At 41.0% G+C, this 22,756-nt stretch overlaps 1 protein-coding gene across 12 annotated transcripts in view; it reads left to right on the top strand.

Moving 5' to 3' along the window:
• Positions 1 to 22,756, top strand: part of SUMF1 (sulfatase modifying factor 1) — a 432,784-nt gene that overhangs the window by 98,926 nt on the left and 311,102 nt on the right. For 4 of the 12 annotated variants that reach the window (XM_047448025.1, NM_001164674.2, NM_001164675.2 and 1 more), the window contains one exon: positions 6,090 to 7,198. The exons of 7 other annotated variants lie outside the window; for them this stretch is intronic. In XM_047448025.1, coding sequence (XP_047303981.1) covers positions 6,090 to 6,200 — 111 coding nt within the window. In that variant the 3' untranslated portion in view covers positions 6,201 to 7,198. Of the gene's footprint in view, positions 1 to 6,089; positions 7,199 to 16,712; positions 16,964 to 22,756 lie in introns of those variants that run through there. One more of the 12 variants, XM_011533626.4, reaches the window with a different exon arrangement.

The raw sequence follows: 22,756 nt of genomic DNA, 5'->3' as shown, positions 1-22,756 counted from the left end.
CACCTGTTGTTTCCTGACTTTTTAATGATTGCCATTCTAACTGGTGTGAGATGATATCTCATTGTGGTTTTGATTTGCATTTCTCTGATGGCCAGTGATGGTGAGCATTTTTTCATGTGTCTTTTGGCTGCACAAATGTCTTCTTCTGAGAAGTGTCTGTTCATGTCCTTCGCCCACTTTTTCATGGGGTTGTTTGTTTTTTTCTTGTAAATTTGTTAGACTTCATTGTAGATTCTAAATATTAGCCCTTTGTCAGATGAGTAGGTTGCGAAAATTTTCTCCCATTTTGTAGGTTGCCTGTTCACTCTGATGGTAGTTTCTTTTGCTGTGCAGAAGCTCTTTAGTTTAATTAGATCCCATTTGTCAATTTTGGCTTTTGTTGCCATTACTTTTGGTGTTTTAGACATGAAGTCCTTGCCCATGCCTATGTCCTGAATGGTAATGCCTAGGTTTTCTTCTAGAGTTTTTATGGCTTTAGGTCTAACGTTTAAGTCTTTAATCCATCTTGAATTAATTTTTGTATAAGGTGTAAGGAAGGGATCCAGTTTCAGCTTTCTACATATGGCTAGCCAGGTTTCCCAGCACCATTTATTAAATAGGGAATCCTTTCCCCATTGCTTGTTTTTGTCAGGTTTGTCAAAGATCAGACAGTTGTAGACATGCGGCGTTATTTCTGAGGGCTCTGTTCTGTTCCATTGATCTATATCTCTGTTTTGGTACCAGTACCATGTTGTTTTGGTTACTGTAGCCTTGTAGTATAGTTTGAAGTCAGGTAGTGTGATGCCTCCAGCTTTGTTCTTTTGGCTTAGGATTGACTTGGTGATGCGGGCTCTTTTTTAGTTCCATATGAACTTTAAAGTAGTTTTTTCCAATTCTGTGAAGAAAGTCATTGGTAGCTTGATGGGGATGGCATTGAATCTATAAATTACCTTGGGCAGTATAACCTAAGCAGCTGGGAAGCTCGAAATGGGTGGAGCCCACCACAGCTCAAGGAGGCCTGGCTGCCTCTGTAGGCTCCACCTCTGGGGGCAGGGCACAGACAAACAAAAAGATAGCAGTAACCTCTGCAGACTTAAATGTCCCTGTCTGACAGCTTTGAAGAGAGCAGTGGTTCTCCCAGCACGCAGCTGGAGATCTGAGAATGGGCAGACTGCCTCCTCAAGTGGGTCCCTGACCCCTGACCCCCGAGCAGCCTAACTGTGAGGCACCCCCCCAGTAGGGGCAGACTGACACCTCACACGGCCGGGTACTCCTCTGAGACAAAACTTCCAGAGGAACAATCAGACAGCAGCATTCGCGGTTCACAAAAATCTGCTGTTCTGCAGCCACCGCCGCTGACACCCAGGCAAACAGGGTCTGGAGTGGACCTCTAGCAAACTCCAACAGACCTGCAGCTGAGGGTCCTGTCTGTTAGAAGGAAAACTAACAAACAGAAAGGACGTCCACACCAAAAACCCATCTGTACATCACCATCATCAAACACCAAAAGTAGATAAAACCCCAAAGATGGGGAAAAAACAGAGCAGAAAAACTGGAAACTCTTAAAAAGCAGAGCGCCTCTCCTCCTCCAAAGGAACGCAGTTCCTCACCAGCAATGGAACAAAGCTGGATGGAGAATGACTTTGACGAGTTGAGAGAAGAAGGCTTCAGACGATTGAACTACTCCGAGCTACAGGAGGAAATTCAAACCAAAGGCAAAGAAGTTAAAAACTTTGAAAAAAATTTAGACGAATGTATAACTAGAATAACCAATACAGAGAAGTGCATAAAGGAGCTGATGGAGCTGAAAGCCAAGGCTCGAGAACTACGTGAAGAATACAAAAGCCTCAGGAGTCGATGCAATCAACTGGAAGAAAGGGTATCAGTGATGGAAGATGAAATGAATGAAATGAAGCGAGAAGGGAAGTTTAGAGAAAAAAGAATAAAAAGAAATGAACAAAGCCTCCAAGAAATATGGGACTATGTGAAAAGACCAAATCTACGTCTGATGGGTGTACCTGAAAGTGACGGGGAGAATGGAACCAAGTTGGAAACACTCTGCAGGTTATTATCCAGGAGAACTTCCCCAATCTAACAAGGCAGGCCAACATTCAGATTCAGGAAATACAGAGAACACCACAAAGATACTCCTCGAGAAGAGCAACTCCAAGACACATAATTATCAGATTCACCAAAGTTGAAATGAAGGAAAAAATGCTAAGGGCAGCCAGAGAGAAAGGTCGGGTTACCCACGAAGGGAAGCCCATCAGACTAACAGCGGATCTCTCGGCAGAAACTCTACAAGCCAGAAGAGAGTGGGGGCCAATATTCAACATTCTTAAAGAAAAGAATTTTCAACCCAGAATTTCATATCCAGCCAAACTAAGCTTCATAAGTGAAGGAGAAATAAGATACTTTACAGACAAGCAAATGCTGAGAGATTTTGTTGCTACCAGGCCTGCCCTAAAAGAGCTCCTGAAGGAAACACTAAATATGGAAAGGAACAACCGGTACCAGCCACTGCAAAATCATGCCAAATTGTAAAGACCATCGAGACTAGGAAGAAACTGCATCAACTAACGAGCAAAATCACCAGCTAACATCATAATGACAGGATCAAATTCACACATAACAATATTAACTTTAAATGTAAATGGACTAAATGCTCCAATTAAAAGACACAGACTGGCAAATTGGATAAAGAGTCAAGACCCATCAGTGTGCTGTATTCAGGAAACCCATCTCACGTGCAGAGACACACATAGGCTCAAAATAAAAGGATGGAGGAAGATCTACCAAGCAAACGGAAAACAAAAAAAGGCAGGGGTTGCAATCCTAGTCTCTGATAAAACAGACTTTAAACCAACAAAGATCAAAAGAGACAAAGAAGGCCATTACATAATGATAAAGGGATCAATTCAACAACAAGAGCTAACTATCCTAAATATATATGCACCCAATACAGAAGCACCCAGATTCATAAAGCAAATCCTGAGTGACCTACAAAGAGACTTAGACTCCCACACAATAATAATGGGAGACTTTAACACCCCACTGTCAACATTAGACAGATCAACGAGACAGAAAGTTAACAAGGATATCCAGGAATTGAACTCAGCTCTGCACCAAGCAGACCTAATAGACATCTACAGAACTCTCCACCCCAAATCAACAGAATATACATTTTTTTCAGCACCACACCACACCTATTCCAAAATTGACCACATAGTTGGAAGTAAAGCTCTCCTCAGCAAATGTAAAAGAACAGAAATTATAACAAACTGTCTCTCAGACCACAGTGCAATCAAACTAGAACTCAGGATTAAGAAACTCACTCAAAACCGCTCAACTACATGGAAACTGAACAAAAATGACTACTGGGTACATAATGAAATGAAGGCAGAAATAAAGATGTTCTTTGAAACCAACAAGAACAAAGACACAACATACCAGAATCTCTGGGACACATTCAAAGCAGTGTGTAGAGGGAAATTTATAGCACTAAATGCCCACAAGAGAAAGCAGGAAAGATCCAAAATTGATACCCTAACATCACAATTAAAAGAACCAGAAAAGCAAGAGCAAACACATTCAAAAGCTAGCAGAAGGCAAGAAATAACTAAAATCAGAGCAGAACTGAAGGAAATAGAGACACAAAAAACCCTTCAAAAAATTAATGAATCCAGGAGCTGGTTTTTTGAAAGGATCAACAAAATTGATAGACCGCTAGCAAGACTAATAAAGAAGAAAAGAGAGAAGAATCAAATAGACCCAATAAAAAATGATAAAGGGGATATCACCACCGATCCCACAGAAATACAAACTACCATCAGAGAATACTACAAACACCTCTACACAAATAAACTAGAAAATCTAGAAGAAATGGATAAATTCCTCGACACATACACTCTCCCAAGACTAAACCAGGAAGAAGTTGAATCTCTGAATAGACCAATAACAGGCTCTGAAATTGTGGCAATAATCAATAGCTTACCAACCAAAAAGAGTCCAGGACCAGATGGATTCACAGCCGAATTCTACCACAGGTACAAGGAGGAACTGGTACCATTCCTTCTGAAACTATTCCAATCAATAGAAAAAGAGGGAATCCTCCCTAACTCATTTGATGAGGCCAGCATCATCCTGATACCAAAGCCGGGCAGAGACTCAACCAAGAAAGAGAATTTTAGACCAATATCCTTGATGAACATTGATGCAAAAATCCTCAATAAAATACTGGCAAACCGAATCCAGCAGCACATCAAAAAGCTTATCCACCATGATCAAGTGGGCTTCATCCCTGGGATGCAAGTCTGGTTCAATATACGCAAATGAATAAATGTAATCCAGCATATAAACAGAACCAAAGACAAAAACCACATGATTATCTCAATAGATGCAGAAAAGGCCTTTGACACAATTCAACAACCCTTCATGCTAAAAACTCTCAATAAATTAGGTATTGATGGGATGTATCTCAAAATAATAAGAGCTATCTATGACAGACCCACAGCCAATATCACACTGAATGGGCAAAAACTGGAAGCATTCCCTTTGAAAACTGGCACAAGACAGGGATGCCCTCTCTCACCACTCCTATTCAACATAGTGTTGGAAGTTCTGGCCAGGGCGATTAGGCAGGAGAAGGAAATAAAGGGTATTCAATTAGGAAAAGAGGAAGTCAAATTGTCCCTGTTTGCAGATGACATGATTGTATATCTAGAAAACCCCATTGTGTCAGCCCAAAGTCTCCTTAAGCTGATAAGCAACTTCAGCAACGTCTCAGGATACGAAATCAATGTACAAAAATCACAAGCAATCTTATACACCAATAACAGACAAACAGAGAGCCAAATCATGAGTGAACTCCCATTCACAATTACTTCAAAGAGAATAAAATACCTAGGAATCCACCTTACAAGGGACGTGAAGGACCTCTTCAAGGAGAACTACAAACCACTGCTCAATGAAATAAAAGAGGATACAAAGAAATGGAAGAGCAATGTATTTTTAAAAAGCAATGTTGTCCCACAGCCTTTCCTATGTTTGATGTTCCTAGACTTGTTGTTTAATTTTTTGCCGATCTACTGGCATTAAATGATATCATAAATATGATTTAGATAATAAATAATATCATAAATATTATTTAGGTATTAAATGGTGTCTTAGTGTTGTTCTTAGTATTTTTTCAGTGGCCATCTATCACTTATTACTTGGTTTAATTTCAAAAATTAATATATATTCTTATTGTATTGGAATACTGAATAGGTTTCATATAGGAAACATGAAACTCAGATTGCTTGAGGGATAACTACTGTGCACATTGTGGTGCATTCGGAATCTTCCAGTCTTTTCTTCTTGGCACATGTAGTTATCTACACTGTGGTCATACCACATATACACCTTTATATTCTGCCTTTTTCATTTTAACTGTTTTTTTTTCTTTTTTTGGACACAAGATCTTGCTCTGTCACCCAGGCTTTAGTACAGTGGCTCAGTGATGGTGTACTGCAGCCTCAAACACCCAGGCTCAAGAGATCTTCCCACTTCAACCTCTAGAGTAGCTGTGACTACAAGTGCACACCACCATGCTCAGCTAATTTTTTGTAGAGATGGGATCTTGCTGTGTTGCCCAGGCTGGCCTCGAGCTCCTGGCCTCAAACAGTTCTCCCATTTCAGCCTCCCAAAATGTTGGGATTACAGGTGTGAGCCAGTGCGCCTGGCCTCATTTAACATTTTATCATGAAAACTTCCTGTGTCATTAAATACTATGTAAAGACATGACTTTCAATGGCTGCTTACTTTTCTATTATATGGATGTGCCTAAACTTAGGCAATCATTGGTTGTTACATTTTTCTTTTTTGCTGTTATATCTAATGCTGAACATCTTTGTACTATATCCGTGTTACATTTATAAGGTGAAGGACGTTGGAAAATATGTGGTTAGTTCTTGAATGTGCTGCCCTTTTTAAAGCATACATGTTAAGTATCCATACAGGCAGGGTTGTGGGGAAGCACTGTCTACAGCCGGTGCAATATGCATCTGATGGGTTAGAGCCTTCAGCTGAGAGTCCCAGTAGCACTTACCTTGCTCTTTCTCTCTACACAGTCTTATTGTTACAGGTATCGCTGTGCTGCTCGGAGCCAGAACACACCTGATAGCTCTGCTTCGAATCTGGGATTCCGCTGTGCAGCCGACCGCCTGCCCACTATGGACTGACAACCAAGGAAAGTCTTCCCCAGTCCAAGGAGCAGTCGTGTCTGACCTACATTGGGCTTTTCTCAGAACTTTGAACGATCCCATGCAAAGAATTCCCACCCTGAGGTGGGTTACATACCTGCCCAATGGCCAAAGGAACCGCCTTGTGAGACCAAATTGCTGACCTGGGTCAGTGCATGTGCTTTATGGTGTGGTGCATCTTTGGAGATCATCACCATATTTTACTTTTGAGAGTCTTTAAAGAGGAAGGGGAGTGGAGGGAACCCTGAGCTAGGCTTCAGGAGGCCCGCGTCCTACGCAGGCTCTGCCACAGGGGTTAGACCCCAGGTCCGACGCTTGACCTTCCTGGGCCTCAAGTGCCCTCCCCTATCAAATGAAGGGATGGACAGCATGACCTCTGGGTGTCTCTCCAACTCACCAGTTCTAAAAAGGGTATCAGATTCTATTGTGACTTCATAGTGAGAATTTATTATAGATTATTTTTTAGCTATTTTTTCCATGTGTGAACCTTGAGTGATACTAATCATGTAAAGTAAGAGTTCTCTTATGTATTATTTTCGGAAGAGGGGTGTGGTGACTCCTTTATATTCGTACTGCACTTTGTTTTTCCAAGGAAATCAGTGTCTTTTACGTTGTTATGATGAATCCCACATGGGGCCGGTGATGGTATGCTGAAGTTCAGCCGTTGAACACATAGGAATGTCTGTGGGGTGACTCTACTGTGCTTTATCTTTTAACATTAAGTGCCTTTGGTTCAGAGGGGCAGTCATAAGCTCTGTTTCCCCCTCTCCCCAAAGCCTTCAGCGAACGTGAAATGTGCGCTAAACGGGGAAACCTGTTTAATTCTAGATATAGGGAAAAAGGAACGAGGACCTTGAATGAGCTATATTCAGGGTATCCGGTATTTTGTAATAGGGAATAGGAAACCTTGTTGGCTGTGGAATATCCGATGCTTTGAATCATGCACTGTGTTGAATAAACGTATCTGCTAAATCAGGCTTCACCGTCATCAGCTTCTTTTCTCTTTCTCTTCTTTATGTTTTCTTTTAAAGAGAGGACTTTGTGATATGCGTGTTTTATTTGCTAGAAAACGTTCATGTTTGTTAGCTAATGGATAACTTTGATATGTGGGTAATTTGTGGGAATTTTTGTTCCAAAAAGCAAGGCTATTCCACCAGTAACCCTATCATGACCTTGCTGCTTGTTGCCACAGTAGATAATGCCAAGTCAAAGGCACTGCCTCACTTGTGGTCTTGTAAAACCCAGCATTTGCTTCCCATGCCGGGAAAGCACCTTGTTTTAGAACAATAGCTTTCAACCTAAGGTCCCTGTTATCAAGTTCCCATCCTGATTCCTCAGTCCTGAGAACCCCTAAGCCATTTCTTGCATGCCATTTGAAAGAAATGTTTAAATCAAATAATATTCAAAAGTGTCTAACCAACACTTGAATGCTACTTTTGTGCTTAGCCTCTTAACATGTTAAAACAATTCCCTTGAAAAGCAGTCATGTAGGCCAGGCCCAGTGGCTCACACCTGTAACCCCAGCACTTTGGGAGGCCAAGGTGGGTAGATCACTCAAGGTCAGGAGTTCGAGATTAGCTTGGCCAACATGCCAAAACCCTATTTCTACTAAAAATACAAAAAATAAAATTTAGCCAGGAGTGGTGACACTTGCCTGTAGTCCCAGCTACTCAGGACTGAGCCAGGAGAATTGCTTGAACCTGGAAGGCGGAGGTTGCAGTGAGCCGAGATCGCGCCATTGCATTCCAGCCTGGATAAGAGAACAAGACTTTGTCTCAGGAAAAAAAGAAAAAAAAAAAAAAGTCATGTAGCTGGCACGTTTAGCCACATTTGTGGTTCATTTTGTAGATATCAAATGTTTCTCTACAAACTTCCACCTACTGATGATTAATCCCAGGCAAAAAAAAAAAAAAAAAAGAACAAACATTGGTAGCAAATAATTAATGTAGGAAATAAGAGATTTTATTTTTAAAGTCACCCTACTCCAGTACAGTTTGTTTTTACTTGTTACCTCCCGCCTGCATATATTTTTTACATTGTTATATTTATGGTGTGTCTATTTTGAATTCTTGTCTTGTTAATGTTACATTGCGTAAGTATTTTTGGTGTTTTGGGTGTACTTTTTAGAATTGCATTTCTAGCAGCAGCATAATACTGGAAGGCATTTAAAATGAATTCCTAAGTTGGGGACGGTGGCTCATACCTATAATCCCAGCACTTTGGGAAGTCGAGGCGAGAGGATCGTTTGAGGCCAGGAACTTGAGACCAGCCTGGGCAACTGAGATGGTTTGACTGCGTCCCCACCCAAATCTCATCTTGAATTGTAGTTCCCATAATCCCCAGGTGTTGTGTGAGGGACCTGGTGGGAGTAATTGAATCATGGGGGCAGTAACCCCCATGCTCTTCTTGTGATAGTGAGTGAGTTCTCACTAGTTCTGATGGTTTTACAAGGGGCTTTTCCCCCATTGCTCAGCACTCACTGTCTCTCCTGCCACCCTGTGAAGAGGTGCCTTCCACCATGATTGTAAGTTTCCCCAGCCATGTGGAACTGTGAGTCAATTAAACCTCTTTTCTTTATAAATTACCCAGTCTGGGGTATTCCTTCATAGCAGTGTGAACACGGAGTTATAACAGCAACAAAGCGAGACCCCATCTTTACAAAAAATGAAAAATCAAAATTAGTTGGGCATGGCAGTGTGTACCTGTAGTCCCAGCTACTTGAGAGGCTGAGGTGGGAGGTTCGCTTGTGCCCAAGAGCTCAAGGCTGCAGTGAACTATGATTGTGCCACTGTACTCCAGCCTGGGCAACAGAGCAAGACCCTGTCTCTAAAAATGAATACAATAAAATGACATCCTAACAAGCCGTTTATTTAAGAACTACATGTCTGGGTTACCAACTAAAGAGTACCCTAAACTATGGATAGCTATAGTCACTACACTTTATAATGTTGGATAGTGACATACGAGCAGACCAGCAAAATGGGACTAAGAAAAGTTCGGTTTGAATGCCATAGGTGTAGTCCTGAAAAGCCTCACTTTCTGTGACATTGTACACAAAACATAGAGGCATACGGGGAAAATTGGGGTAGAGGCAGATTACTCAAAACTTAAGGAACTTTGTACATTGTACCACAGCACTAACAAAATAACTATCCTAACAAAACCAGTAGCCTAATTCAATCTCCACTGGCATTTGCAGCCAGCATTACAGCCAGTTGATCCTTTGCAGCCTTAAGTTTTGAGGCACCTTCTTTCTTCTCCAAGGTGTAAGACCTTCAGGACATATGCTTCTAATGGAGATCACGTCCATCAAAAGTAAAAAATCTGATCTGGGATGTAGATTTCTCCATCAGTCGACTTTAAGGTGGGCAGTGTCTTTGCAGCATCTTTATCTGCACTGTCAGTTTTTCAGAGCTTAACACACTGGAAAGTGTAGCAGTTCTTGAAGCCACTAAATAAATCACTAGATGCACTAAAAGAAGGCACTTTCATGGTATTAAATTTTTTTTTCCTGAAGGTCTTCATATATTGCTAAGGTTTTCTTTAAAATTATGAGAAGGTTTGTGCCTGCTTGTTTCAAAACATGTTTTAAACCACATGTGATCCAACATGACTTCCACATTCTACTGTCCTCCATTCTCTGTTTATTAATCACTTGTGAGCTATTTCTGCTTTAGATAAACAGTTGGAGCCGAGCAGACCGTTTGGTCGATGTGCCAGTTGCAGTATTAAAAAACTGTTTTGTTTTTTGTTGTTGTTGTTTTAGGAACTCTTACATCTAGAGTTGGTTTCGAATTCTCATTTCTTGCCCCATTGAAGCATGGAAGGAATTTGGGGTTTGTTTTCAAGTCTGCTTTAGTCCTGAATCCTGGACGGTCTTTATTTTTGGACTGTACATGACAGTTGAGTGAGAAGCAAGGTGTATCTCTTTTTTTTTAAAGCTGTAAACGTGATTAGAAGAAGGCAGGGGCTGGGGGAAATACGGGTGGTAATCAGGAGGGACCTTTTCTTCATGGAAAATGGGCTGCATAGATGCTTCAAACTACATGGTTCAACCTACAGCTTAAAATGCAGTACAGATCTGTGTCAATATGGGCATTTTCTTTTCACCCCCACCTTTTACTTTTTTTTGAACAGAGCATCTCAATTGTCGATATGACCCTTGAGGAAAAAAAGAAATGGAAGCTACCATTTATTTTAGTAAGAGTTGGTCGGGGCCAGGCACGGTGGCTCATGCCTGTAATCCCTGCACTTTGGGAGGCCGAGGCGGGTGGATCAGCTGAGGTCAGGAGTTCATGACTAACCTGGCCAACATGGTGAAACCCCGTCTCTACTAAAAATACAAAACTTAGCTGGGCTTGTTGGTGCATGCCTGTAATCCCAGCTACTTGGAGGCTGAGGCAGGAGAATCAATTGAAGTCGGGAGGCAGAGGTTGCAGTGAGCCGAGATCGCGCCATTGCACTCCAGCTTGGGTGACAAGAGCGAAACTCCGTCTCAAAATAAATAAATAAATAAATAAATAAATAAATAAATAAATAAATAAAAGTTGGTTGGGGCAGGGGTGTGGTGGGGGTGGTGGCTTCAAAGTAGTGCATGGGTAAATTCTATTTTTCAGGGACTATATTTACTGAGAATTCTATTGACAAAAAATAATGACTGAAATTTCATCCATGAGAATCCAGTATTCTAATTCTCTTGCTAATCACCTTTTCCAAATAGATCACATTTTTGTCCTCAGTATTCAAGCTGCAAACAGAATTTTTGCATGTGGTAAAATCCATATTCAGGAATATCTTGAAAAAAAAAAACCACCGTAAACATAGTGCTTTCTGGAACACCGTAAACATAGTGCTTTCTGTTCTGAAACTTCAGGAATTTTATGCAAGGGATTAGTGTGGGCTTATTTTTTCTTTTTTAAATATTTAGCATATCTGTCTCCCTCCTTCCCTCCTTCCTTCCAACAAATATTAACATTCCATTAGCAGTATTTCTCATAAGGGAGTTAACCTGCAGGCTGGCTATGGAGGAACAAAGGAAGTAAAAAATCTGATCTGGGATGTAGATTTCTCCATCAGTCGACTTTAAGGTGGGCAGTGTCTTTGCAGCATCTTTATCTGCACTCAGTTTTTCAGAGCTTAACACACTGGAAAGTGTAGCAGTTCTTGAAGCCACTAAATAAATCACTAGATTTAGGAAGTGCAGAGCCAGGCAAGACGTGTGAACAGGTGAAGCAGGCTGGGCATGAGCGAGGCCTGTTCTAAGCGTGCTGCCACTGCTCTGTTCTCGTCCATGGCTGCCCTGCAGAAATGTCAGCCTGGAGTTGCTCAGTTATCCAGTTTCCAGGACTGGCTGGATGTTTGCATTTTTGTGTGAAGCCTTCTGAGTTTTTAATGTTGGCAACCAACTAATATTTTTAAAAAGCAAACACTGTGAAGACCTAATAAATTGCTTCTGCAGCCCCGTTTCATCTGCGGGGTGCCAGTTTGCATTTGCAGCCTAGATTATGAAGAGTTGATACGTTTCACAGAGCAAAAAAAAAAAATTGTATGTATTTATTTCTGAAGAGTGACTGATCAAGTAAGTAATGTACTAGCAAGAAATGTATAAATGTAAGAAAGGGTCGTGGCTTGCCCAGGGACCTCATCTCGCCTAGAAATGCCTTATGAGACTCCTGTCCTCTGTCCCCACGCTGTCCCCACGCTGTCCCCACGGAAAACCATTTAACAGCCATCGGTGATCTCAGCAGAGCCACTGGCAGCCCATTTTCATTAACTTGAGCACTTATGGCTAAGTTTGCAGATTAGTATCAGAGAATAGCAAAATTTTAATTTATTGACTGTTGATTTAATTTTATTTGTTAAAACTTAATTCTCTGGATACAAACCACCCTAGAGCAGGCCTCATTTTTATAGGTTTTCCAGAATCAGTTGTGCTATTAGTGAAAGCTAGCCTTTGTTGTTTCAAATGCTTAAAACACCATGGAAATTATTAACTCCGAGAGCCTCAGATGGAGCTTTGGCACGTGGCCAGAACTTCCTTCCTCTGACTTGTGTTTAGACCATTAGAGCAAGAGTTTAATTAATTTTTTGATTAAGCAAAATCATTACAGACAATATTCAGGTAGGCTGTAAAATGAGAAATGCTCTTTCCTGAAACTTGCCCTATTTAGGATTGGAAAGTTCAAGGGATTAGTACCAAGGGGGCGGAATTTTTCAGCTTCAGATCAGATTCTAATCTGCCCCCAAAGTAATTGACCCCAGAGTCATCATTATGAGAAGGCTGGTTGGGCCTTTGGAATTAGTCACAGTTGTCAGGGAAGAAGGCGATTCCAGTTCAGAGTAATTGAAGGTCAGATAGGATTGCTCTCCCGCCCTTGGGTCTGGGCCATATTTGACAAACCCCTTGTTTTCTTTGCCGAGGGGAATGGAAGACTGATCAGAGCAACTCTTTTCTAGCATATTAGCTTGGACCTCAACAGGGTAATGCTAGAAGCTGTGAATGAACACTTAGGGGAAAAGTGAAACCACTAACAGACTATCAGAAGAGCAGAGATAAGGCTTTCCTTGTCAGGTGGCACTGATAAAAGGTTCACCTACATTTACTTTGGTGCCTGTGGTGAAGAGCCATTGGTTGCATTTTCAAAGTCCACAATTTTTCTCTGCTCTACACCTTTGCCAAATAAGATTTTATTTATTTACCTTTAAATGACATGGGAAGGATGTCGTTTTAATCTCTTCAATCACTGTCTTTTATTTTTATTTTTCTGAGACAGAATCTTCCTCTGTCATCCAGGCCCGAGGGCAGTGGTGCAATCATGGCTCACTACAGCCTCTACCTCCTAGGCTCAGGTGATCCCCCCCACCTCAGCCTTCTGAGTATCTGGGACTACAGGCACATGCCACCATGCCCAGCTAGTTTTTTTTATTTTTTATTTTGTAGAGATGGAGTTTTTCCATGTTGCCTAGGCTGGTCTTGAACTCCAGGGCTCAAGCAATCCACTTGCCTCAGCATCCCAAAATGCTGGGATTACAGGCGTGAGCCACTGTGTCCGGCGTCACTGTCTTTAAAAGGCAGTTTAGCATCGTGGGTAGAGAGCCTTGGGATAAGATTGTCTGGGATCATATCCCTGCACCACCACATACGTAACTGTGCCACTGTAAGGCAAGCAATGTCCTCTAAGGTAAAATGGGAATAATAATACCTACCTTGTGGGGTTGTGGGGAGATATGAGAAAATGCAAAAATAAAGTGCTTAGCACAAAGTACTTGGATAAGTGCTTCCCAGATACTGGGATAAGTGCTTCCTAGGTACTTGTTCCTGTTATAAATATGACTATTAGAAGCAAAGGAGCAGGAAGGTACTACCAGATGGTCCTGGGCAGCCATGGAGTTACAGCCACAGAGAAGAGGACAAAATGGGCTAAGAGTAAGAAAGAACAAAGAGACTGCATAGAAAAGCTTAACCTTGACCCCCATATCAAACATTAAAAAAGAAAAAAGCTGGCATGATTAATCCCCAAACTTGTGTTAGTACTTGAATTTGGAAATACCTGATCCTGCGCGGTCGGTCTGTCCCACGAAGTTCTCACGGAAGGGGAAAGTGAGACCTGGTTATCGCTACCTATATTGTGAAACTCTGGGTATTTTCTTCTTGAATCCACCTCACAAAGAACCTCTAGCAGGTTTAATACCAATGGAAAAGTCATTTGTGGACATAACAATAATTAAAAAGAAGGAAAAACGAAAAGGGAGGATAGTCTGTTGGCCCATACTGTGTTGATCTGCCTGTTCAAGGTTTTCTGTGGTGTCTTCAGTGCTAATTTGCATTTCAGTTTTAGAGAATAGTTGTTTGGGTAGTTCTGCCTCATTGTTTACATTCTTACTTCTTATTTAATCCTTCTTTGATATTACTGGTTCAGGATTTTAATTCTAACTACATAAATTACCAGACTTAAAAATCAAGATGGGGGCTGGGCAGGGTGGCTTATGCCAGTAATCCTAGCACTTTGGGAGGCCAAGGCAGGAGGATCACTTGAGGCCAGGAGTTCATGATCAGCCTAGGCAACATAGTGAGACCCCATCTCTACAAAAAATAGAAAAATTAGCTGGGCATGGTAGCATAGTCCTATAGTCCTAGCAACTCAGGAGTAAGACTGAGGTGGCAGGATTGCTTGACCTCAGGAGTTTGCTATGATCACACTGCTGCACTCCAGCCTGGGTGACAGAGCCATACCCTGTCCCTAAAAATCATAAAAATGAAAATAAACAAATGAAAATCAATATGATGTCCAAGTAGAAGGGTTCAGGATGTGGCAGACAGAACTCACTACAACCTGTTGTAGGAGGTTTTATCTAGCTCAGCAGTTCTCCAAGTGTGGTCTGGAGACCCCAGAGACCTCCAGCCCCCTTTCAGGGGGCCTGTGAGTCAAACTGATTTTCATAATAATATTAAGATGTTGTTTGTTTTTTAAATTATCTAAGAGTATACAGTAGAGTTTTCTAGAGACTGTATGATATGTAGCCTGAGGGCTCACAGAATATGAGCTTGTATATTTTTATGTTAAAAAATTAGGCCGGGCGCAGTGACTCACGCCTGTAATCCCGGCACTTTGGGAGGCCGAGGTGGGCGGATCACGAGGTCAGGAGATCGAGACCATCCTGGCTAACACGGTGAAACCCCGTCTCTACTAAAAATACAAAAAATTAGCCGGGCGTGGTGGCGGGTGCCTGTAGTCCCAGCTACTCGGGAGGCTGAGGCAGGAGAATGGTGTGAACCTGGGAGGCGGAGTTTGCAGTGAGCGGAGATCACGCCACTGTACTCCAGCCTGGGCGACAGAGTGAGATTCCGTCTCAAAAAAATTCCTAATCTTAATTTTTTCTTAAAATGTAAAGATGAGGGTCTCACTATGTTGCCCAAGCTGGTCTTAAGCTCCCGGCCTCAAGCCATCCTCCTGCCTCCAGCTCTTGAAGTTCTGGGATACAGGTGTAAGCCACCATACTTGGGTCAATCTTTTAATATGTTCAATGTCTGTAGATATATTGCACATTACAGAAATTCTGTGGGGTCCTCAATGATTTCTAGGAGTGTAAAGGGATCCTGAAACCAAAAAACCTGAGAGCTGTTCATCTAGGAGAAGAGCAAGGTCTGACAGTGACTGAATCTGTCTTGGGAGAAAATGACAGCCTTTCTCCATCTCTTCTAAGGACGGTCAAAAAGAATTGGGTTTAAATGACCTCAAGAGCAAGTTAAATTAACTGTTCAGAAGCACTTCCTTCCTGTTTGTTTTGGGAGACCTCTTAAATGTAGAGGTGAATTTGCTTCCCTGGCCCCTTCACAGACAGATGGCCCTGCCATGGGGTTGTCACCCTTTTTTTTTTTTTTTTTTTTTTTACACGCAGCAATAATGGACCTACATCCTTTGGAACATAATTCTATGCATGGACTACCCTCAACAATCCTGTAGTTGGAATCACTTTGTATAAAATGTCTCCCAAAAAGGGCTTTGCAAGTATTCGGTGCAAGTCATGGAAGATTCCCTGACTATTGCAGCCTCCACTCAAGGTGACATTGTGGTGGGACCCTGCCATGTCCCCAGCCATCTTTCCCCAGATGGTGGCTGTATTATAAAGCCATTGAGGAAGGTGAAAGTGTTACTTTCTGAAACAGCTCACTTTCTCCTGGTAGACTGTGTTCATTGTGCGGTAAATTGTGGTTGTTCTATGTCTTCTCTTGTCTTGGCTGGTTTGCTTTCCAGGGCCAGGCACTGTACTGGAGGCTTTGTGTACATGACCTAATTTAATTTGCAGAGTAGTTTTTGGGGGGGAACTGGTTATTTTTGGTTAATATTCCCAATGTGCACTTAGAAAACTAGGACTCAAGATGCCCCAGGTGACACGGTTGAGTGAGGCAGAACCAGGACTCACGCCATTTTTGTGACTTCCGTTCTCTCTACTGTATCATTGAGTCCATTGTTTTATTGTGAGTTTGGGGTGGGGAGTGGTGGACTGAAGACGGGAGATTACTGGGGCAAGGGATAGCTTGCAGGAGTAAAAAGGCAAAGAGTGAGGAGGTGGAATGGATTAGTGGTTAAGAACATGGGCTCTGGAGCCAGACTGTCTGGGCTTAAATTCTTCTCCTACCACTTACTAGATTTGTGACTTTGGACAAGTTACTAAATCTATTTCTTCTTCAGATTTTGAAAATTATGTGCAAGTACTTCTAGAAAAGGTACAATCAAGGCAGGAGGGTTAAAGCAGTCAGTATAGAGGGATCTGAGTGTAAACCTTTGACCTGCTTTAAATCCACTCCAAACTTGAAGGGTTGATGCTTAGTCACACTGCAGAAATTATTCTCAATGTGGTAATGAAGTGGCCGAGGCTACGACTACACATTTTTGAAAGACGTGTTTCCATCACACCTCCCTCCCCACCCATGTGTCACTTCTTTTTTAAAATGATGATGTTACCCTAAAGAAATGGACTTTTTTTTAGGGGCGGCGTGGAAGAAGGCTTGGGTGCATGGAACACATTCATCCACTGGAAAACATGATCAAAAGGTGCATTATCAGCTCATTCGTTCCAGGCACAAATACATAAAAAGAATGTGGCTGATAAAGACGACTGAGATCAGTGTGTGAAGAATGAAAGGAAAAGTGTGCTGCGTCATCCTCATGAAATAGCGGTCTGAAAAAGTATATGAGAGGACTTCCTTGATAAGATTAAATCCCCTGCTCTTTGTAAAACGAGGCTAAAGTTTCTTACTTGCTTCTCCTAACTCTGTGGCTGGGCTCAAAAATGGGTATTGTTTCGTTAAGACTCAGTTTCAGGGCAGCTTCCAACTCAACATTTGCTTCTGTTCCAGAACATTTGTAAAAATTTGATTCAGAGCAGGGAGGGTGGGGAGACCTCACTAATATGGGAAACATATTCACATTTGTAATTTTATATTTATTAATAAAACTATTTGCTTCAGGACATATTAGGCAAGCCAAAGGCTGAATCACATTGATGATTGCCTGTGAGCTTTTACCTTTGAACAATCTCTTGTGGAGCCAACCCTTGTACCTCCGTCTGTGGGTATGGTTTTCCGTGGAGTGGTAGCTCAAAGTGGTTTTATGTGTGATGTTCTCCCTCTAGTGGCCAGTTTGGGTTTGTTGTATTGGTTTGATTTTTTTTTTTCTTTTTTTGTTGTACAAATGATCTCTAGAGTTGGCAAACCTTTTATTTAGGGGTAGTGTGGATTTGGGAAGGCTAGGAGGTATGAGCAAAAAGGGAGGGGGTGCAAAATTTTATTCCATAGGTGAAACAGTTATTCTAAAGTGTTTGTTCCAATTGCTAGCTTTTTAAAGAGGAGGAAGAGAAGGAGATAGAGAATGTGACCTGCAGAGGTGAAGAGAGCTCTGGAATAATTTGTCATCTTTTTACTGTAATCATTTTCTGAACTTCTACTGCTTTAATTAAGAATTATCTCATTTTTAACTATTTATCAAGTTTCTTTGAAAATTTATTATTTTTTAGTTATCAGAGCTTTAATATACCTAGGTAAAATTAGAAACTCAAAGCATAAATAAAATTTGTATAGAAGCTCCTCATTCTGTGAGTTTCTGGTCTTCTCCCATATCCATGCCAATAGGTGACTACTATCAACAGTCTATCTTTCCAGACTTTTAAAAACGTATTTACAAACATTTATACTACATGTATATATGGATATATATTGAATATATATACACACAATTATACACACACAATTATACACACACAATTATACACACACACACACACACACACGCATATACACACACAGAAAGTGGTGGCTCAAGCCTGTAATCCCAGAACTTTGGGAGGCCAAGGTGGGCAGATCACGAGGTCAGGAGTTTGAAAACACCCTGAACAACATGGTGATTTTATATACTAAAAAATGGTGATTTTTTAATACTAAAAAAAATACAAAAATTAGCCTGGCGTGGTGGTGCATGCCTGTAATCCCAGCTACTCGGGAGGCTGAGGCAGGAGAATTGCTCAAACACGGAAGGCAGAGGTTGCAGTGACCCAAGATCGTGCCACTGCGCTCCAGCCTGGGCGACAGAGCGAGACTCCATCTCAGAAAAAAAAAAAAAAGAAAATAATACGTAATATATACAACTTATTTTTTTTATTTCTTCTAAAAAAAAAAACCGGATGCATGTACAGAACGTGCAGGTTTGTTACATAGGAATACATGTGCCGTGTTGGTTTGCTGCGCCTATTGACCCATCCTCCAACTTCCTTCCCTTCACCTCCTACCCCGCAACTGGCCCTGGTGTGTGTTGTTCCCCTCTCTGTGTGGATGTGTTCTCAATGTTCAACTCTCACTTGTGAGTGAGAACATGTGGTGTTTGTTTTTCTGTTCCTATGTTAGTTTGCTGAGGATAATGGCTTCCAGCTTCATCCATGTCCCTGCAAAGGGCATGATCTCATTCCTTTTTATGACTGCATAGTATTCCATGGTGTATATGTACCACATTTTCTTTATCCAGTCTACCATTGATGGGCATTTGGGTTGGTTCCATGTCTTTGCTATCGTAAATAGTGCTGCAAGGAGCATACATGTGCGTGTGTCTTTATAGTAGAATGATTTATATTCCTTTGGGTATATATCCAGGAATGGTATTGCTGAGTCAAATGGTATTTCTGGTTCTAGATCCTTGGGGAATCACCATACTGTCTTCCACAATGTTTGAACTAATTTACATTCCCACCAACAATGTAAACACGTTCCTACTTCTCCACAGCCTCACTAGCCTCTATTGTTTCTTGATTTTTTAATAATCGCCATTCTGACTGGCGTGAAATGGTATCTCATTGTATTTCTCTGATGATCAGTGATGTTGAGCTTTTTTTCATATGTCCATTGGCTGCATAAATGTCTTGAGAAGTGTTTGTTCATATCCTTCACCCACTCTTTGATAAGGTTGTTTGTTTTTTTCTTGTAAATATGTTTAAATTCCTTGTAAATTCTAGATATTAGACCTTTGTCAGATGGGTAGATTGCAAAAATTGTCTCCTGTTCTGTAGATTGCTTGTTCACTCTGATGACAGTTTCATTTGCTGTGCAGAAGATCTTTAGTTTAATTAGATTCCATTTGTCAATTTTGGCTTTTGTTGCAATTTCTTTTCACATTTTTGTCATGAAGTCTTTCCCCATGCCTATGTCCTTAATGGTATTGCCTAGGTTTTCTTCTAGGGTTTTGTTTGTTTGTTTGTTTGAGACGGCGCTTCGCTCTTGTTGCCCAGGCTGGAGTGCAATGGCGTGATCTTGGCTCACCGCAACCTCTGCCTTCTGGGTTCAAGTGATTCTCCAGCCTCAGCCTCCCGAGTAGCTGGGATTACAGGCATGTGCCACCACACCTGGCTAATTTTTTTTTTTTTTTGTATTTTTAGTAGAGACAGCATTTCTGCATGTTGGTCAGGCTGGCCTCAAACTCCTGATCTCAGGTGGTCAACCCGCCTCAGCCTCCTAAAGTGTTGGGATTACAGGCTTGAGCCACTGTGCCTGGCCTCTTCTGAGGTTTTTATGGTTTTGGGTTTTACATTTAAGTCTTTAATCCATCTTGAGTTAATGTTTGTACAAGGTGTAAGGAAGGGGTCCACTTTCAGTTTTCTGCATATGGCTAGCCAGTTTTCCCAACACCATTTATTAAATAGGGAATCCTTTCCCTATTGCTTGTTTTTGTCAGATTTGTGAAAGATCAGATGGTTGTAGATGTGTGGTATTGCTTCCGAGGTCTCTGTTCTGCTCCATTGGTCTATATGTCTGTTTTGGTACCAGTACCATGCTGTTTTGGTTACTGTAGCCTTGTAGTATAGTTTGAAGTCAGGTAGTGTGATGCCTCCAGCTTTGTTCTTTTCGCTCAGAATTGTCTTGGCTATCCAGGCTCTTTTTTGGTTCCATATGAAATTTAAAATAGTTTTTTCTAATTCTGTGAAGAATGTCAACAGTAGTTTGATGGGAATAGCATTGAATCTATAAATTACTTTGGGCACTATGGCCATTTTCATGGTATTGATTCTTCCCATCCATGAGGATGGAATGTTTTTCCATTTGTTTGTGTCCTCTCTTATTTCCTTGAGCAGTGCTTTGTAGTTGGAGAGGTCCTTCACATCTCTTGTTAGCTGTATTCCTAGGTATTTTAATCTCTTTGTAGCAATTGTGAATGGGAGTTCATTCATGATTTGGCTCTCTGTTAGCCTGTTGTTGGTGTAAACGAATGCTTGTGATTTTTGCACGTTGACTTTTGTACCCTGAGACTTTGCTGAAGTTTCTTATCAGTTCAAGAAGTTTTGGGGCTGAGATGATGCAGTTTTCTAAACGTGAAATCATGTCACCTGCAAACAGAGACAATCTGACTTCCTCTCTTCCTATTGAATACCCTTTATTTCTTTCTCTTGCCTGATTGCCATGGCCAGAACTTCCAATACAATGTTGAATAAGAGTGGTGAGAGAGGGCATCCTTGTCTTGTACTGGTTTTCAAAGGGAATGCTTCTAGCTTTTGCCCATTCAATAAGATATTGGCTGTGGGTTTGACATAAATAGCTCTTATTATTTTGAAATATGTTCCATCAATACCTAGTTTATTGAGAGTTTTTAACATGAAGGGATGTTGAATTTTATCAAAGGCCTTTTCTGCATCTATTGAGATAATCATGTGGTTTTGTCATTGGTTCTGTTTATGTAATGGATTATGTTTATTGATTTGTGTATGTTGAACCACCCTTGCATCCCAGTGATGAAGCCCACTTGATTGTGGTGGGTAAGTTGTTTGATGTGCTGCTGGATTCGGTTTGCCACTCTTTTATTGAGGATTTTTGCATTGATGTTCATGAGGGATGTTAGGCTGAAAGTTTCTTTTTTTGTAGTGTCTCTTCCCGGTTTTGGTATCAGGATGATATTGGCTTCATAAAATGAGTTAGGGAAGAGTTCCTTCTTTTCAATTGTTTGGAATAGTTTCAGAAGGAATGGTACCAGCTCCTCTTTGTATTTCTGGTAAAATCCAGCTGTGAATCTGTCTGGTCCTGGGCTTTTTTTAGTTGGTAGGCTATTAATTACTGCCTCAATTTCAGAGCTTGTTATCGGTCTATTCAGGGATTCAACTTCTTCCTGGTTTAGTTTTGGTTGGGTGTATGTGTCCAGGAATTTATCCATTTCTTCTAGATTTTCTAGTTTATTTGTGTAGAGGTGTTTATAGTATTCTCTGATGGTAGTTTGTAATTCTGAGGGATCAGTGGTGATATCCCCTTTATCATTTTTTTATTGCATCTATTTGATTCTTCTCTCTCTTCTTCTTTATTAGCCTAGCTAGCGGTCTATCTTTCTATTAATTTTTTCAAAAAACCAGCTCATGGATTTGGTGATTTTTTTTGAGGGTTTTTTTGTGTCTCTATCTCATCTTCAGTTCTTCTCTGATCTCGGTTATTTCTTGTCTTCTGCTGGTTTTTGGATTAGCTTGCTCTTGCCTCTCTAGCTCTTTTAATTGTGATGTTAGGGTATCGATTTGAGATCTTTCTAGCTTTCTGATGTGGGCATTTAGTGCTATAAATTTCCCTCTTAACTCTGTTTTAGCTGTGTCCCAGAGATTCTGGTACATTGTCTCTTTGTTCTCATTGGTTTCAAAGAACTTCCTGATATCTGCCTTAATTACATTATTTACCCAGGAGTCATTCAGGAACAGGTTGTTCAATTTCCATGAAATTGTGTGGTTTTGAGTGAGTTTCTTAATCCTGAGTTCTAGTTTGATTGCACTGTGGTCTGAGAGACTGTTTGTTATGATTTCAGTTCTTTTGCATTTACTGAGGAGTGTTTTACTTCCAATTATGTGGCCGATTTTAGAATAAGTGCCATGTGGCACTGAGAAGAATGTATATTCTGTTAATTTGGGGTAGAGAGTTCTGTAGATGTCTACTAGATCCACTTGATCCAGAGCTGCGTTCAAGTCCTGAATATCCTTGTTAATCTTCTGTCTTGTTGATCTGTCTAATACTGATAGTGGAGTGTTGAAGTCTCCCACTATTATTGTGTGGGAGTCTAAGTCTCTTTGTAGATCTCTAAAAATTTGTTTTATGAATCTGGGTGCTCCTGTATTGGGTGCATATACATTCAGGATAGTTAGCTCTTCTTGTTGCATTGATCCCTTTACCATTCCCTTCTTTGTCTTTTTTGGTCTTTGTTGGTTTAAAGTCTCTTTTGTCAGAGCCTAGGATTGCAACCCCTGCTTTTTTTTTGCTTTCCATTTGCTTGGTAAATTTTCCTCCATCCCTTTATTTTGAGCCTATGTGTGTCTTTGCATGTAAGATGGGTCTCCTGAATACAGCATGCTGATGGGTCTTGACTCCTTATCCAATTTGCCAGCCTGTGTCTTTTAACTGGGGTATTTAGCCCATTTATATTTAAGGTTAGTATTGTTGTGTGTGAATTTGATCCTGTCATCATGATACTATGTGGTTATTTTGTGCACTAGTTGATGCAGTTTCTTCGTAGTGTCATTGGTCTTTATAG

This window comes from Homo sapiens, chromosome 3, assembly GCF_000001405.40.
Source record: "Homo sapiens chromosome 3, GRCh38.p14 Primary Assembly".
Taxonomy (NCBI): domain Eukaryota; kingdom Metazoa; phylum Chordata; class Mammalia; order Primates; family Hominidae; genus Homo; species Homo sapiens.
This window is presented reverse-complemented; position numbering and strand designations above follow the sequence as displayed.